This window comes from Homo sapiens, chromosome 5, assembly GCF_000001405.40.
Source record: "Homo sapiens chromosome 5, GRCh38.p14 Primary Assembly".
In the NCBI taxonomy this organism is placed as follows: domain Eukaryota; kingdom Metazoa; phylum Chordata; class Mammalia; order Primates; family Hominidae; genus Homo; species Homo sapiens.
Window position 1 is genome coordinate 53,331,121 of NC_000005.10, and position 16,711 is coordinate 53,347,831.

Genomic DNA, 16,711 nt, shown 5'->3' on the forward strand with positions numbered 1-16,711 from the left:
AACCTTAATTTTTGGGAAACTGATTTTTGAAAATATGTCTGTAATTAGATGCTATTGCTGATAGACAAATATGTGTGTATACTTACAAGTTCCCTACCTTGTTATTATCCTATTAGATCATTTGTACTATTTAATTTCATCAGTGTCACAAATTAATTTTATGTGAAACCTAATCACTCAGTATCCATTATCTTGTTTTTGCTCTACAACAAACAGTGAGATAAAGTCATTGAGACTTTATCCAAAGTAAATATAACTTAGTAATTACTAGAAAAAGAAGATGTTTTCTTGTTTGAAGAAACAGCATTTTAACAAGAAGCAAAGCCACCAGTGGTACATTTATGTTTCTGCCTTGGGCAGATAAATGAACTAAATGACCTCTTTCTATCATTTTCAGCCCTGTGATTCTATCAGCAAAAGGCTTTCAGAGTCATGTGATAGCATAAGCCAAGACTTCTGGTAATTTCAAAGTCTTTCAACTATTTTCCCAGGAGTTTTATCCTCTCTGGGTTGTAAGCTTCATTTCAGAAATATGGGAGGTGACTATGACAAAGCAAAGAGGCATCCCCTTTGGATCAACTTGGAAGGCTGTGTGGGCATGTGCAGGCAGACAGCAGAAGTCACATCCTATAGGTTCTATTTAGCATTCACCTCGTGACTCAGTCCAGATACTCACTTAATAACCAAGTTCAGGTTCAGGAAACAGCCAAATTTCAACCACTGTAGATTTTCTACCTTCAACAGTACCTGACAAATTTGGCCTACTGTGTCTTTGTTTGTTTGTTTGCTTCTTTGTTTACAAAACCCCAAACAGGTAACTTTTTCACTGGATTCTAGTTTCATCAAGTAATTTCCTTTTGTTTACACAAATATGGGATGCAAACAAATGAAAAAGACAAACTTTTGGCTAAAAAGAACTTTGACCTCATCTATGTAAGCCAAACACTTTCAAACATAATGTATTTATAACCTTTCCACCCCTATTCTTGGTTTTATTCTTTTTTGGTTCTATAGACAACTACAAAAAAAATGAAAGAAAAAGTTCTGGGAGCAAATAATATCATGGAGTTAGAGTTATACTTTTAGTAGTCCAAAGAAATGGTTCACAGATGTGCTGCACAGCCTCTTCTGACAGAAGCTCCATGCTAATGTTGATGAAAGAATATATTCCTTCTTTTCCAAGATGGCCCAGGGAATGCACAGCACCATGATATTCTGAGAGGGCTTTCAACAACTTTTAGCCATTTTGTTTGGCTCTATGACAGTCAAAAAATTTTTGTCCCCAGAGAATTTCCTTCAATATAATCGTGCAAGAAGTTCAAAGCGAAATAGTTGCGCTTTCTCTGACCTATCTAGTCTTTCCAACGATTTGCTAACAAAATGATGCACAATTCATTTGTTCTGAAAATGTTTCCACTTCTGCCATAGCAAGCAGTCTAAAGAGTCATACAATTTACAACTCTTTCTGTTTACTAAAAAAGGTGAGGAATGATACAGTTCATCTATTGATGAATCTTTTTTTAAAGCCACCAACCAACACGTATGGTACAATTTCATTTTGGCAAAATATAATCTACCTGTGTGCATACATAGAAAAATAGACTGTTAGGCTATAAACCAATGTAGCCTATAATCAGTGCTGATTATCACTTAAAGCTGATTATCACTGGTTGGTAAAATTATAAATAATTTATGTTTCCTTCCTTATGTGTCACTGTCTTTTCTGAAATATTTGCAATAGCATGTATAACTGGGTTCTTTTCCTGCTTATAATAATTTTTTAAAGTCAAACATTTACTTACTAACTATAAGGAAGCAATAAAGCTATTTTCATTTTTCAAACAATAAATAAAAATACGTTTGTCAAAATAAGTCTGCACTAATGGGGCACTTTGTTCCTTTCTCTCAATATAAATTTCAGCTGGAATTCAGAGGTCAATCTTAAATTATAGAGTTATACTAAAAACCCATAAGATTTATTCATTAAAATGTTCCTGCAGAGTTCTGTAGCATCCTGTAGGTGTGGCAAATGAACAAATAAAACTCATATCCAAATTCAGTATCTCTCACCTCCGAACATTTGCTTTACTTATCACCACAGGGAAGTACACCACCGGCACAACCTTAAGCTATAACTCTATCCCAAAAAAGGAGATGAGTCACAAGTCACTTTTAAGAAATACAATAGAATTTTTTTTCTTGTAATGAACGCTGAAAGGGAAATGTTTTACTTGTCCTGACAACTCTAGCAAGTCATAGCCCAAAAATATGAGTAGGATGTTGAGCCAAAAGCTTTTTAAAGGCTAGACAAATACCAGCAGCATTAATAAAGGACCAGAAAGACTTCTATTGCAGCACTCTTGGGTTTACAATGTGATTATTGTTTTATGAGCAGAGAAAGTATCTTGAATACCATGACAATTTTATGTTTCCTAGGTGCTGGAAAAACTAGAAAGTGAGAGGGGATGGTATCTGATGAGGTAAAAGCACAGTGGCTGAATGCCTTGTCAATGAGGCTTTTACAAAAATTTTTAATCTCTTGAGTCAGGATTTTGTTTCTGTGGCAATGAAGATGTAGGCATTGGGAAGCTGGGGGTGAATTTCTGTGGTGCTGTCTTGCTGGGGATGGCCTGGTGACAATCTGCTCTGCTCACGATGAGAAGACTTTAGTCCAAGTTTAGTCTTTTAAAACGCCAACAGTAATGTACCCACATCTCTCCCTGCCTTGTGAAACATGTTTCCTCCATTCTGAGTTTATTTAATGCCAATTCATGCTGTGCTTAACTATATGAAACCAGCCAGCCTGAGGTCCAAAACGAGTGATATTCTGTTCCTTTAACAAGATTATAACTAGTGGTTAAATAACATTCTCCAGCAGCTCCCTCCCCAACCCTATCCCAAGCTGGAGTAGGAGTAGTAAGGTAAAGAGAGACCTGAGTAGTCCAGCCTCTCTCTTGTATTTGAGGCTGGGGCTTTGAGTTTTCTTCAATGTCCTTGTAAGTTTGAACTCTTCATCTGACTCTACTATCCTAGGCAATATGGACAGAGATAGAGCCTTCCTCTCACCATAATCTTGGGTACTCTGTCCAAAGACCAAACCATCTGATACTTTCTTTCAAACCAAAAATATAGAGTCCTTGATTGGGTGGAGATGGGTGGAGAGAAAAACCTGATTTCTTGCCGATTTCTCCCTTCAACCAGGATTATACCAATGAGAAAGAACAATTAGCAGGCTACTCCCAGAACAGTGCCCTGGCAATGCATGGTACACATGCTTTGTGTGTTTAAAAGGAGCTGCTGATAATGGTGAAGAAATCCAGAAAGCATCTGGGAAAATCCCTGACAAGGCACACCTTTCTTTCAGCCTATATGCCAGGTGTCACACATAGGACCAAGCATCGTCTTTCATGGCCCAGTACAAACTTGTACCATGGGACCTAAGCCAAGCATGATTCCTTTGAGCTTGCCCAGTTTAAACTTGCAAGGTGCGCCGCCACCACCCCCCAACCTCAACCCAACTCTACCCCCAACTAACATACCCACACACATGCACAAGTTCACATGCTATCTCAGCCCATCCCATTTGTAACTCATCAATCATAAGGGAAGCATTTTTAAGTTTTTCACTCTAAAACTGCATTATGTCCTGCAGGCTGTTTTGTAACTTTTGGATTACGGCACCTAACTGTAGTATCATGAAGTTGATAGGTTTGACTCATTTCCTCTTGTAATAAAGCCACAAGGTTAACATTTTTTAGAAAGAAGTATGCTAGCTTCCACATTTCTTCAGATGTGAAGACTGTACATGGAACAGGCTTTGAGACTGATCCCCTGGAACAAAAAAAAGAGGGTGAATTTTTTAAAGGAAAAGAGTAGTAGTTGTGTTGTACTAAATAAAATTGATTTTGCCTGACTCTAATGTAATAACAGCAGTTAAACCACTGAAGTTTTTGTGTGGTGTATGTAATGGCAGCATTTTTCTTTTCTGCTCTACTTTGTCTGAATTTTTAAAAAACTGTAAGATTGAAAGGAAATCTTTTGGTTCTTGTGGAGTCTGTTGATGCCTACCTGTTTCTGGCTGTTGTGTGGACCTTGTTCAGTGGATGCTGTACTGCCTTGACCCCTGCAGGACAGAGGCCCTCATTCCCCAGTTCCTGCAAGTATTAGTTGTCACTGCTGCCAACTAAGTCTTTCTCCAGGAATTGTCCTCAGCTGAAGGAGAATACCTTACCAAAGGTTATGATCTGCTCTCTGGGAACAGCCTGCGAGCCATGACTAATCAAAGTGAGGGTAGGCTTGTTCCCTTGACTCAACTGGCACAATTCTGAAGACCATCCCAGCTCTAGAGCTCCACATACGATCATTCAAAAGTCCTGTCCCACATTACAGTGCAACTTCTCCTTCTGACCTCATGCTTCCCTTGGCTTTCATAGACAACTGCAAGATCGTACCCAGGTGCACCTATGAGCACATTTCCTTCTTAGAGCTTTCCCCCTGGGTAACCAAATCTAAGATAGTTTCCATTTGTTTTCCTGGGACCTAGAGGCTAAAATGAGATTACAAAGCTGGATCTCTCACCAATTGGCCAGTAACGAAGACCAGTGGTAAGTAGTATACTGATTGCCATTTATGCAAAACTTCACAGTAGTGAAAGATGCCCAAGAAAAACCCCTTGTACCTTCTACTATATAAAGACACAGGGAGAAGGCACCATCTATGGACCAGAAAGTGGGCCCTCCCCAAACACTGAATCTGATAGCATCTTGACCTTAGACTTCCCAGACTCCAGAACTGTGAGAAATAAAGTTCTGTTATTTACAAAACACACAGTCTATGGTATTTTGCCACAGCAGCCCAAATGGACTAGAACACACTGAAATTACACAACTCGTATTTCCTTTTTTTCTTTCAATTTCCATTTTTATTTTAGATTTGGGGGTACTTGTGCAGGCGGTTACAAGGGCTTATTGCATGGTATTGAGGTTTGGGCTTCTATTCATCCTGTGTAGTGACTCAGATAGTGAACATAGTACCAATAGGAAATTTTTCAGCCCCTGCACCCTCCCTCCTTTTGGAATCCCCTGTCTATTGTTCCCATCTTTATGTCCATGGAAATTCAAGACTTAGCTCCCACTGGTAAGAGAGAATATTCAATATTTGGTGTTCTGAGTTAGTTTACTTAGGATAAGGGCTTCCAGCTGCATCTATATTGCTGCAAAGGACATGTTTTTGTTCTTTTTTATGGCTGCATCATATTTCCTAGCTTATGCATGCACATGCATTTCGTTCTTAGCAGAACAATGGAAACACTGTACACAGCTAACTCAACTGTTTTCATTTGACTTCTTAATGCACACACTTCTACAACACCATCTTTCTTTGGCTTAGTGATGAGTAAGGAAGGACTAGAAAGAAAATCTGTGTCCTATCTTTCTCTTTTCTTCTGTTATCATTTGCAGTAAGTGGTTGGCTAATACAAGGAAATAACACAAGTACAAAATTATATATAGTAGCATTCATTGGTCTTTCAGGTTTTTGTCATTGCCTCTTTCTGCATTTGAAGCAATTTGGGTTCAAATGGCAATTATGGCCTATCAGTTGCAAACTTAAATGCTTATATTTTACTTGCTTTGCAACTCCTTGAACTCCTATGTATGCTGGGAGAATTCTCATTTATGAACATCACAAACTCTTTATGCTTATGGAATGGCAAAGAATGATGGGCATGCATATTCAAGTATCTCTTCACACCATTCATGCATATCTCCATTGTCCCATCAGACTTTACTTACAAGACACAGTTCAAAGATAAAAGTATTAAAAATTTCAAGATGGTAACTGCACAACATTAAACTAAGCATGGGCTCTCTGCAGCTCCAGGTAAATCCTGGAAACCAGCCTTGAGTGGTGAACTGGATTGGGATATTGAGAGAAGGAAATGCAATGGCAGCTAAAATGTCTCAAATATTTGAGATGTTCATGAAAAAGAATAATTATAAAGACTATGAAATTGGATGGCTGTTCCTGAGGGCCATCAATGCATCAATATGTCAATGCATCTGTGCATTGGAGAAAGACAATGAAAGGCTGAAGGTGATTAGTTACCAATGTAAAAATGTAAAAGACAGAATTTTTTTGTCATTTAATAAAGAGATTCTCATCTCCTGTAGCCATAGGGTAGAAAAAGCTAGGATTAAGCCAAGTACCTAATGACTGAGAAAGCTTTCCAGAGAAAGCTGAATTCCCAGCCTCAGAGGTCTACTGGGCCAAGGTCAAGGTTCTGATCAGGAAAGAGTGGAACTCTGAAAATTGGGAAGGGGATATATGAGTTAATTCAGCCCAAAATCTTGAAATCCCAGGTTTCCCTCAGCCAGGGCCAGCCAACTTACTTTGTAAAAGGCCAGATGGTAAATATTTTAGGCTTTGGGAGCCCTAGGATTGCTATCACAACTGCTCACCTCTGCTGTTGGAGTGTCAAAGCTGCAGTAGACAATAATTACTTGAATTATTATTACAAAGGATGTGGCTACCTTACAATAAAACTTTATTCACAAAAATAATCCATATTTGGCCTGCAAGCCATTGTTCTTTCAGACGAACCAAATGAAAAGCATACGACAGAAGTGGAACACTAGAGATCAGGCACAATCAGGGCCAGAAAGTACAAACAAGCTGCTTGAGCAAACAGCCAGACTCCATGTGTCCACAGCTGCTGCCCCCATGCCTCTTCCTCAGCTCACACCTTGGCCCCATTGCAGGTGGGAACCTCTTTTACCAGATTTTGGAGGAGCAAAAAACAAAAAAAAAAAACAAAAAAAAAAACCAGAACTTTATTTACCGATGAGTCATCTTGATATGTGGTACAAGCCAAAACTGGCTTATTACTATGTTATAACCCAACTCAAGGTGAGGGGTTATCCTTCCAAAGGACAGAATTTCAGGCAGTGATGATCATCCACTTGTGTAGGAAAAAAACTGACCCAAGGTAAGTGTATGTGCAGAATCTTGGGGTGAGATGTTCAGGTGAGAGAAGGGGGTTCAGAATGGTCAAGGGTTTAGGAGGAAAAAGAATGAAAGACTGGATTCAAGGAAGTCTGGGGAAGAGGCAAGTAGATGGACCCCAGATTCTCAGAGCCCATTCATTTCCTAGGGATCATGAGCTACCCATACCTTACTTTGTCCTTATTTATTCAATTGGCTTTTTTGTTCTCACAAGATTGCCAGACATGGGGGTAAGTGATGAGATTACAGAAGCAAATTAAACTAGGTCTCTATCCTCAAGGAGTTGACTCTCTAAGGAAAACAGGCATGTAAACAACTAACTGGAGTACAGTGTGATCCATGATACTATTTAAAGTAAAGGACAACGTGCTGCAAGAATACAGACTAAACAGTGAGGATAAAGAAAAACTTCATGGAAGATGGAACACTTTAACTTATATAACACATCAAGTATAACATTTTTAAGGGGAAAAAAAAGGTATGTTCCTTCCTTCTTTTTGGCATTAATCATATCTGTTTTTGGCTTTCCATCCAATCACTATTCTCTACTTTTTCATTACTAACAAAAATCAAAATTTAGAGTGACTATAACACTACTTTAAAATACCTACCCCAGCTTCCTTGCAGGTAGGTGTGTATGGTCATGTGACCAAGTTATGGCCAAAGAAGTATAAAAGCAACCCTCTCAGGTAAGATTCTAGAAAGCTTTTAAATTATTATTATCATTACTAAAAAGAGACAGAGTAATCTAATATGTGCCTTTTGTTTATTGCTTTTTGTCCTTCGCCTGAAATTTGGACATGATGCCTAGAAGTAGAGCTTAAACCCATGAGAATGAAAGCCATATATTAAAGATGACAGAACAAGATAAAAGAAGGGTCCTGGTTCTTTGATGATGTTATTGAATAGTGACACTGGATCCTTACCTCCATACTCCCGGCTAAGGCTGAAAATTCAACCTGTTTGGTTAGCCACTGTAGTTCAAGTGTAGATGACATGCAGCCAAACAAAATCTTGACCAATAAGCTATGCAAAGAGTAAACCAAGAGATCTTCCAAGCTGATTCTTTTTAGTTTGTTTATCTTCCAAGAACAACACCATAAATGTCACTGGCCATTCTTAAAGTGACATCAGGTGTGTATATTTTTATGCCACTTCTTTCTATGCATGAGGAATCCTGAGATTTCAAGTTCAGAAAACATTTCACAACAGACGACTGAATACTCTGAATTACAAGCAAGGAGATGAGAAACACGATCTCTCTCTTTCAGGTTCACAGATACTTTACAGGTAATTCATGACTTTTCATAAACATCCTTAAACTAGATAGACAATTTTGTTCCTTGTGGTAAAAAACTTGTAGCGTGAGCCAGAACCCTCACTCTCTAACACTCTCTCCCCTCTCAACAAACCTCTGACCCAGAAAAGAGTATTGTTTTCATCTCTGAGTCTAGATGATTATATTGGAACTAAATTTGTGGTATCAGAAATCAGCTCTTTAATATCACCCACACAAAGAAATATTCTATTGTAGGATCTACTTTCATCTCTTTTCTTACTATGATTAACCCAAAAAATAACCACAAAAATGAGGAAAGGCAAGAAACAGTTGCTATTGAAAGTAGCACTATGGAGAAAAAAGGAACATTAGGAGCCCAGGAAGAGGTATCCAATTTGATAGCTGAAAGCCCCACTAAAGTTTCTAATTTCTTTGTGAGAGCTTCTTCCTTGTCCAAAGCTGTGTAAAATTGAGATTATATCATGCCTTAGAGATCCACACTTGGAGTTTTAAGGATCAAAACCTTAATCAACATTAAAGTACATTAAATTTCAAAAGACTCAAGAGCAAGTGTACATACACACGTGGACACACTTAATAGTGTCACTAGTCTTTACATAGTAAGACAAAGGTTAAAGGCAGAGTACATTGGTTTTATTTCTTTGTAAAGTATTGAGAGAAGTTGTATAAAATGGCTATGAGAAGACACAGATTTCTTAATGTGCTTTGGTTCAGCTGCAAAGCATTCCATGAATTTCAAGGGAAGCTACAGGGCATTGGTGGAAAGTACACTAAAGAAATCCTTCCTCAGCCTCGGAGTTTGAAAAAAAATCTTGACTTTCAGATACACCTGGGTCTTCTGGGGCAACAAATGGGAAATCACAGCTCTATCAACAAGCACCAACTTGATAATTTGAGGCTTGTTTTCTTTTTTTTCTTCCTACAACTCAGACAGGTTTTTTTAAGCCTTAGCAGAATGGCTAGACTAGGTAATCCACATAAGCAGCTGCTGCAATGTGATCTTTTTCTAACATTTTAATGTAGAGCTGTGAACTTTTCTGGCTTTGGGTTGTGTTAGGAACTTTTAGAGTAAACATTCTCAATTTAAAGGTTATTACTTTTAGGGCTCTGTCTGATCTGTCTCAGATGGAGTGTCAGCATTGAAAACAGTTACCCATGATAGCAAATTCTGCTGGAAATGCAGTGGCTGATGTCTAAATGATCTTTGAATACTAATGCTACACACTTTAACAAAAAACTTTAGTTTATTTCCTTATTTTTAAGTTTAATAACATTCTATTTTCTAGATCTCAGGATATTTACTCATGTACTGCTTTTTAGCACCACGCAAAATAGGGATTGGTTGGTGGTCATCAGGGTACTGTAGAAGGTAAGTTCTACCTGGTTTCCAGCCACAGCTCTGCCACTTACCAGCTGCATGCATTTGGGCAAACCACCTCATCTCTACATCTCAGTATCATCATGTGTGAAATTGGGGTATCATTGTGTCAACTGATAGAGATGATGCCTGGATTAAAAGAAAAAGAATACATGGAAAGTAGTTAATATAGTAGTCATTCATTATGTGTTTATATCTCAGGTCCTAAAATCAAAATCACCATTAACACCAGCCTTAGAAGCCTATTGTCTTACATGTTTTCATTGACTGATTATTATTGTGACAGTTGGAAGAGAGGGAAATAATTTGAGCTGAGGCTTTTCATATACAACTTATAAGATGATGCAATAAAATTTTGATCATCTTGCAAATGTGGTTTAAGATTACATAAAGGGTCAAAGATTTTCACTTTAATAAGACATGGGATCCACCAAGAAGTAGTGATACATTTTCTCTAATTATAGGGAGGGCAGTGTTGAATATCTCCACTCTTTTTGACTAAGATCTATGGACATGTGCCTCTACGTGAAAGCTATGGGTGTGGAAACAACTCTTGGTGCGGCACACCTATTGTAGAGTTCTTGCTTTTCCTTTTGATCGGAGAGGGGTAGGGTGCCTGGGAACTAGGGCTGGAGCAGAATCTCTACCTGAAACAGTAAGAGACTCTAGTTACTGACAGACAGGTCAAGTACTCAAAAACTTGCACACAAAAAATATTGTGAGCATTTTTTGTCAACAGTTGCACAATAATTTTCATGCCTTAAGACAGGCTGGGCTAAGAGTAGTTATGCAGCCCTCATATTGGGACATACTGGTTAACAGGGGGCAAGAGTTAGGTTTTGTAGTGGATGCTGTGATGGACCAACCAGATCTCCACCTCAAGAACAACTTATTCTTCTAACTATAGGGAATGCTGGCTGTGAATGGCTGAGAGCTGTGCCCTTCTTTCAGAATTGAACTCAGCCAAAGAAAGCTGCCTCACTCAAGTTTATACCCCCTTCTCAGACAGCTTGTGTCCAATGGCTGCTCAAAGCAGGGTCTCCTTTCTTGAAGGGCACTTCCAGCTGCACAGCACTAGTTGGATTGACTGAGGCCTTTGTTGCTACTGTACTGCAATTCATCTCCTTCCTCTTCCCAATCCTGCTTCCTCTATTCCTTTACAGATAATGTTCCTGAGAACACTCCTAATAAATCTCCTGTCTACACATTATCTCTATCTCACAATCCATTTGCAGGTATCTCAATCTTACATAGATTCCTATTAATCTTTGACACCCAAGCCTCCACCCAAAGCCCCTGGGTCAAGTTCTTTGCAGGTTGGCATACTTCCCTACTATCCAAGGACCAACTCTGCTCCACCTGAAGATAAAGCCTATTTAACCTCCTTGACTCTCAGAACATACTCCTACCTTCCAGTAATGTGCCCTTCTGCAAGATATATAGCTTCTTCCCTACCCCAACAACAGAGAGAAAAAGGATTTTCCAACATTTGATATCAGGTCCAAAAGAAAGTTTGTTGATTTTCTGCTTAGAGCATCCTGTACACACTTGGCAAATCTACATCTGCCTTGCCTCTAGCTTTCTACACCAGGCAGACACACCCACACATCCAGGACCCAGTGACAGACAGAGGCAGGCTGTAGATGCCCTGAGGTTGTTTGCAGCCATCTTTCTGGAACCTCATCCACACTAGTTCCCAAACACCCCTCTCTGGCCCCTGGGTTTGCATAGGGATAAAGATTTTCCCTAATGGGCTGGGCTTGGCTTGGCTTCTTGCTCCAAAAATTACAAATTTCCTTTCAGGGGAATTCTGTCCTCCACCAGCCTTTGGGGAACCAATCTCAACCACTTGACTGACATGTTAGAAAGGCCAGTATGGACACATCTTAGGGCAGGATTCATAGACATTATCTTGTTTAATTTTGCATATAATCCTTGTTACAATCTTGCCCAGTGATATGGTTTGGCTCTATGTCCCCACCCAAATCTCATTTTGAATTGTACTCCCATAATTCTCACGTATTGTGGGAGGGACCTGGTGGGAGATAATTTGAATCATGGGGGCAGTTCCCCCATACTGTTCTCCTGATAGTGAATAAGTCTCATGAGATCTGATGGTTTTATCAGGGATTTCTGCTTTTTCATCTTCCTCATTTTCTCTTGTCACCACCAGGTAATAAGTGCCTTTCACTTCCCACCATGATACTGAGGCTTCCCCAGCCATGTGAAACTGTAGGTCCAATTAAACCTCTTTTTCTTCCCAGTCTTGAGTATGTCTTTATAAGCAGCATGAAAATGGACTAATACAGTAGGTCAGCATAACTTTACTTGACAGCCATGGGAAGTTGGCCCAGCAGAGGAAAGAGACTTGTCTCAAATCATACAGTAATTGGCAGAAGGACCTGTCTGTGGATGCAATGCCTATGTTATTTTCACTAGGCCACCTTGTTTTCCCACATATCAGGCTGCCTCCCGATATTGTAGTCCAGAGATGAGGAAAGTATGAAAGCCCAGTCACTGGCTATTGTCCAAGAAACTGCCTGACGGAGTAACTCATCAAGAGGCTTCTGGCATTGGAATACATACCATAAGGTTTGCACCTCAACTGAGAATCATGCCAGAAGAGTAGAGACAAGCCAGCAACCAGCTAATAGAGTGAACATCTGGGGCTGACTCACTGGGACACTAAGCTGAAGGACCCAGCAGGGAGTAGGTTTATGAGATAAAACAGAGGAGAAGGATCCAGTGGCCATTTAACTACTGTCTGTAGTCTGGCCACCTCAACCAAACATCAGATTCTGACAGGAATACTTTCAAATTTCTAGAGATGCTATATTTTTACAGCCCTGTCTCTTGGACCACAAAAGAAACTCTCCCTCCCTGTACCCACTAAATTCATCTCATTGTAGCTCCTTAAGATTTTCAGGAGTGTCAGACAGCTTTCCTCCTGTCTCCTGTCCCCAGCTTCACCAAGTCACTCGAGTATGCTGTCAGTGTTCTTGATTCTACATGTCTCTGAGGATCCGTTCTGAGACCTGTCTTCCCGTGGCCATCTGTCTGGGACTTTCCGAGGCTTCCATTGTCTGTCTCAGCAGATAATACAGTCTTGGATGGAGCCTCCAGATAATTTCAGATAGACTAGGCCCCAGTTTGCCCAGTGCTGCGGGCCTCGGGAACAAGCTTCATATCTATAGCTTACTATAGAAAATGCCAAATGAGCCCATTTCAGGACAGATTGGTCAGCAATTCTTCCCTGGCATTTGGGCATTGGCCTTTTTCACAGGTTATTACTTAGGCAGCTTGCTCTAGTGTCTCTTACTGCTTCAGGGAGGGATTCTGCCCAGTCCTGGTCTTAAGGTACCTACTCATCCCCCAGCCAGGCTTCTGCCAAAGGAAAAAGTGAAAAGAATATTTACTAAATGTGATGGTTAATATTGAGGGGACTGAAGGATGCAAATTATTGTTCCTGGGTGTGTCTGTGAGGGTGTTGCCAAAGGAGATTAACATTTGAGTCAGTGGGCTGGGAGAGGCAGACACACTCTCAGTCTGGGTGGGCACAATGTAATCAGCTGCCAGTGTGGCCAGAATAAAACAAGCAGAAGAATGTGAAAAGACTAGACTGGCTTAGCCTTCCAGCCTACATCTTTCTCCCGTGCTGGATGCTTCCTGCCCTTGAACTTCGGACTCCAAGTTCTTTAGCTTTGGGACCTAGACTGGCTTCTTTGCTCCTCACCTTGCAGACTGCCTATTGTGGGACCTCACCTTGTGATCATGTGAATCAACACTCCTTAATAAACTGCCCTTTATATATACATCGATCCTATTAGTTCTGTCCCTCTAGAGAATCCTGACTAATACGCTAAATGTGCTACACCAAGGTATCTTTCCATACCTATGACTCTCGCTTGAGAGCACATGTCCATAAGATGCCAGTCAAACTTAGGGTGGATATGCCATACCTATAACTAGGTAGAATTTATCACTACTCCTTGGGAGAGGCCAACTCATGTTAAAATGAAGAGTCTTGGATATCAGCAACTTCTCTAGTTCATCCACCAGAAATTTGGCTCCCATATTTAAATATACCCTGGAAAACGAGTAGACAAATTCAGTTTCTATATGGCTCTGTCCCATACTGCAGGAAAAGTAGGTAACATTTAGATTATTATTTTCCAAACAATATTCTTTCTATCTCTAAACATCATAAGTTTCTCTTTCTAGGATAGACAATAAAAAATAATATCTTGTAAAATCTTTCCAAATAAGGAAAGAGGACAAATAATTTTTAAAGATTAATTCCAACATAAAAATAACAGCTAAAAAAATCACAGTGAAATCGAAAGAATTAAGTTTTCCTTGGCTGAACTGAACCTGAATGGCCTGTTTCATTTCTCCCATAATAATGTTTGCTGAAGTTCACTGAGAAGTTGCCATGTATCAGCCACTGTTCTAAATGCCCATACCTTATTTGATCCTCATAACAAGAAATAAAGTAGGTGCTATTATTATCCCTATTTTATAATTATCTGAGAAAACTGAGGCACAGATAATTTAAGCAACTTTTCCAAGATCACTTTCTCAGAACATATATCTCAATTTTTGGTTAAGTAAAAAATATTTGGCTAGGCACAGTGACTCATGCCTGTAATCCCAACACTTTGTGAGGCCGAGGTAGGAGCATCATTTGAGGCCAGAATTTCAAGACTAGCACTAGCAACACAGCAAGATAGCAAGACCCCATCTCTACAAATAATAATAATAATAATAATTAAGTGTCATGGCATGCCCCTGTAGTCACACTACTTGGGAAGCTGAGGTGGGAGGATTGCTTGGGCCCAGGAGTTCAAGGTTACAGTGAGCTATGATCACGCACTGCACTCAGCCTGGGGAAAAAAAAACCACACATATATTTACATATTACAAATATTTATTTCCAGGCTACAAAATCTTATACAGACAACTTGCTAGAAAAAAAGTAAAAATAGAAAGGGACAGACATCAAGAACATAGGGCATGGAAGAAGGTGCTTTCTAGGGACTTCATTAGTAGGTGCTCATTTTTAAAAGCTGATTAGAAATGTTTTTTGGAGTTAGAGGTCAGGCATCTATCTTCTACTAATTAATAGCAAGCCTCATTTAACATATTTAACTCTCACAGTCTCATTTTACTTATTTTTTTAATTCATCTGAAAAAGTTGAGTACTAATTTATTCCCTACCATAACAGTAGCCACTATATCAATGAAGATGCTTTAAGTTGCAGGTAAAATACTCCACCATCAGTAACAAAATAATAAAAACATTTTTCTCTCTCACATAATAAGAATCCTAGGAGTGGCATTTCCAGATTAGTTCAGTGGCTCAGCCAGGATCTTCTTCCAATCCCACATTTCCACTCTTCTCCATGAATTGGCCTTTGGCCCTTAGACTTGTCACCTCTTAGTCAAGAGATGACTGTCTGAGCTCTAGATATCATGTCCTTACGTAGTAGCATCTAAACTAGGAAAACAAAGAAAGAGGGTCAAAGGAAAGAGCCATCTTCTTTCAAGCCTTTTGTGGAAACCCCAAACAAACTTCATCTTACATGTAATTAGCAAGAAGTGGGTCATGTAGGCACAGTAGATAATTCACAGGAAAAGAGAAATGAGGCTGGGCACGGTGGTTCATGCCTGTAATCCCAGCATTTTGGGAGGCCAAGGTGGGTGGATCATGAGGTCAGGAGTTCAAGACCAGCCTGGCCAACATGGAGAAAACCCATCTCTACTAAAAATACAAAAATTAGCAGGAAATGGTGGCACGTGCCTGTAGTCCCAGCTACTCAGGAGGCTGAGGCAGGACAATTGCTTGAAACCGGGAGGCAGAGGTTGCAGTGAGCCAAGATCACGCCACTGCACTCCAGCCTGGGCAATAGAGGGAGAGAGTGAGACTCTGTCAAAAAAAAAAAAAAAAAAGAAAGAAATGGGATTGTCAAAACAGCCTTATATGATGTATGTTTCATTAGTCCCATTGCAGACATGATCATTTAAGGCTCAGTGGGAAGAAGTAATCAGCAAATATGAGAGTCAGACTTTGACCCATATGACAACAAAGCTGCACTAGTAGTTATTGTTTGCTCAGAAGTTAGAGATGTTCCCACTGGAAATCCTTTTCAAGTATAAGAAAATGCTAAAATAAATTTATGGCTAAGACACCGAAGACAATAAATATTGCATTTTAAAGGAGGTAAAGAGCTTACAAAAGAGTCATCTGCAATCGTGTTACTTAACTCTTAAACACCTCACCCACAATGATGGTGTGAAAGGATGGGGACATTAGAAATTAGAAGGATGTTTGCAGAGTATTTCTTTTGAATGAGCAGCTCTGTGTGCCCTTCTACCCTTCATCTTGCCTGCCCTCAAGCCCAGCGTAAGGGAGTTTATTCCACAGAATCACTCAGAGAGCTCCACACATGTCTTCTGCAGTTACAGGGACCCATTGAACTAGTGTTTGGCATATATCTGGAAAACTAAAAAGCTGGTGTAGTGGATTACAAAATATGACCACAAATTCCTTTCATCATATATTCAAGCTCTTTTGCATTGTGATTTTGTTACTTCTTCCATCAAGACATGAAGTCTACTTCCTCAGCCCTTGAATCTGGGCTGGTCTTTAGACTTGTCCTGACCAAAAAATTTGCTAACAGTGATGTAATGTGACTTAAAAGTGTGGGCCTTAAGAAGCCTTGCAATTTCCACTGCTGGTTCTTGGGCAGTGCATCAAGACCACCATTTAGGAAATCAATCTCACCTGCCAGAGGATGAAAAACACAGGGTGGGGTGGGGATAGAGGGCAAGGAGAGGCACCCCAGTCAATGGCCAGCATTAACTTTAGATGTATAAACTGAGAGGGTTCAGCCCAGTCAACCCTCCAGCTGAATCCAGCTCATGAGTAAGCCCAGGAAAAACTGGTAGAAAACCCAACCAGCCTACCCAAAGAACTCTAAGACATGATAAGTCACTATTACTTGAAGCCACTGTGTGAGTTGTTGGTTACA

The 16,711-nt window shown here is 39.8% G+C and overlaps 2 annotated features.

Moving 5' to 3' along the window:
• Positions 5,936-6,105: an enhancer, noted in NCBI's record as "experimental_86008 CRE fragment used in MPRA reporter constructs". NCBI's record gives its function as "activates a minimal promoter by MPRAs in K562 erythroleukemia cells, with activity observed for the non-introgressed 5:52632971 or rs62359874 variant allele {active_cell/tissue: K562}" and the evidence as "EXISTENCE:reporter gene assay evidence [ECO:0000049][PMID:34662402]".
• Position 6,021: a transcriptional cis regulatory region, noted in NCBI's record as "Neanderthal adaptively introgressed variant 5:52632971 (GRCh37/hg19 assembly coordinates) or rs62359874 in the experimental_86008 CRE". NCBI's record gives its function as "modulates activity of the experimental_86008 enhancer by MPRAs in K562 erythroleukemia cells {active_cell/tissue: K562}" and the evidence as "EXISTENCE:reporter gene assay evidence [ECO:0000049][PMID:34662402]".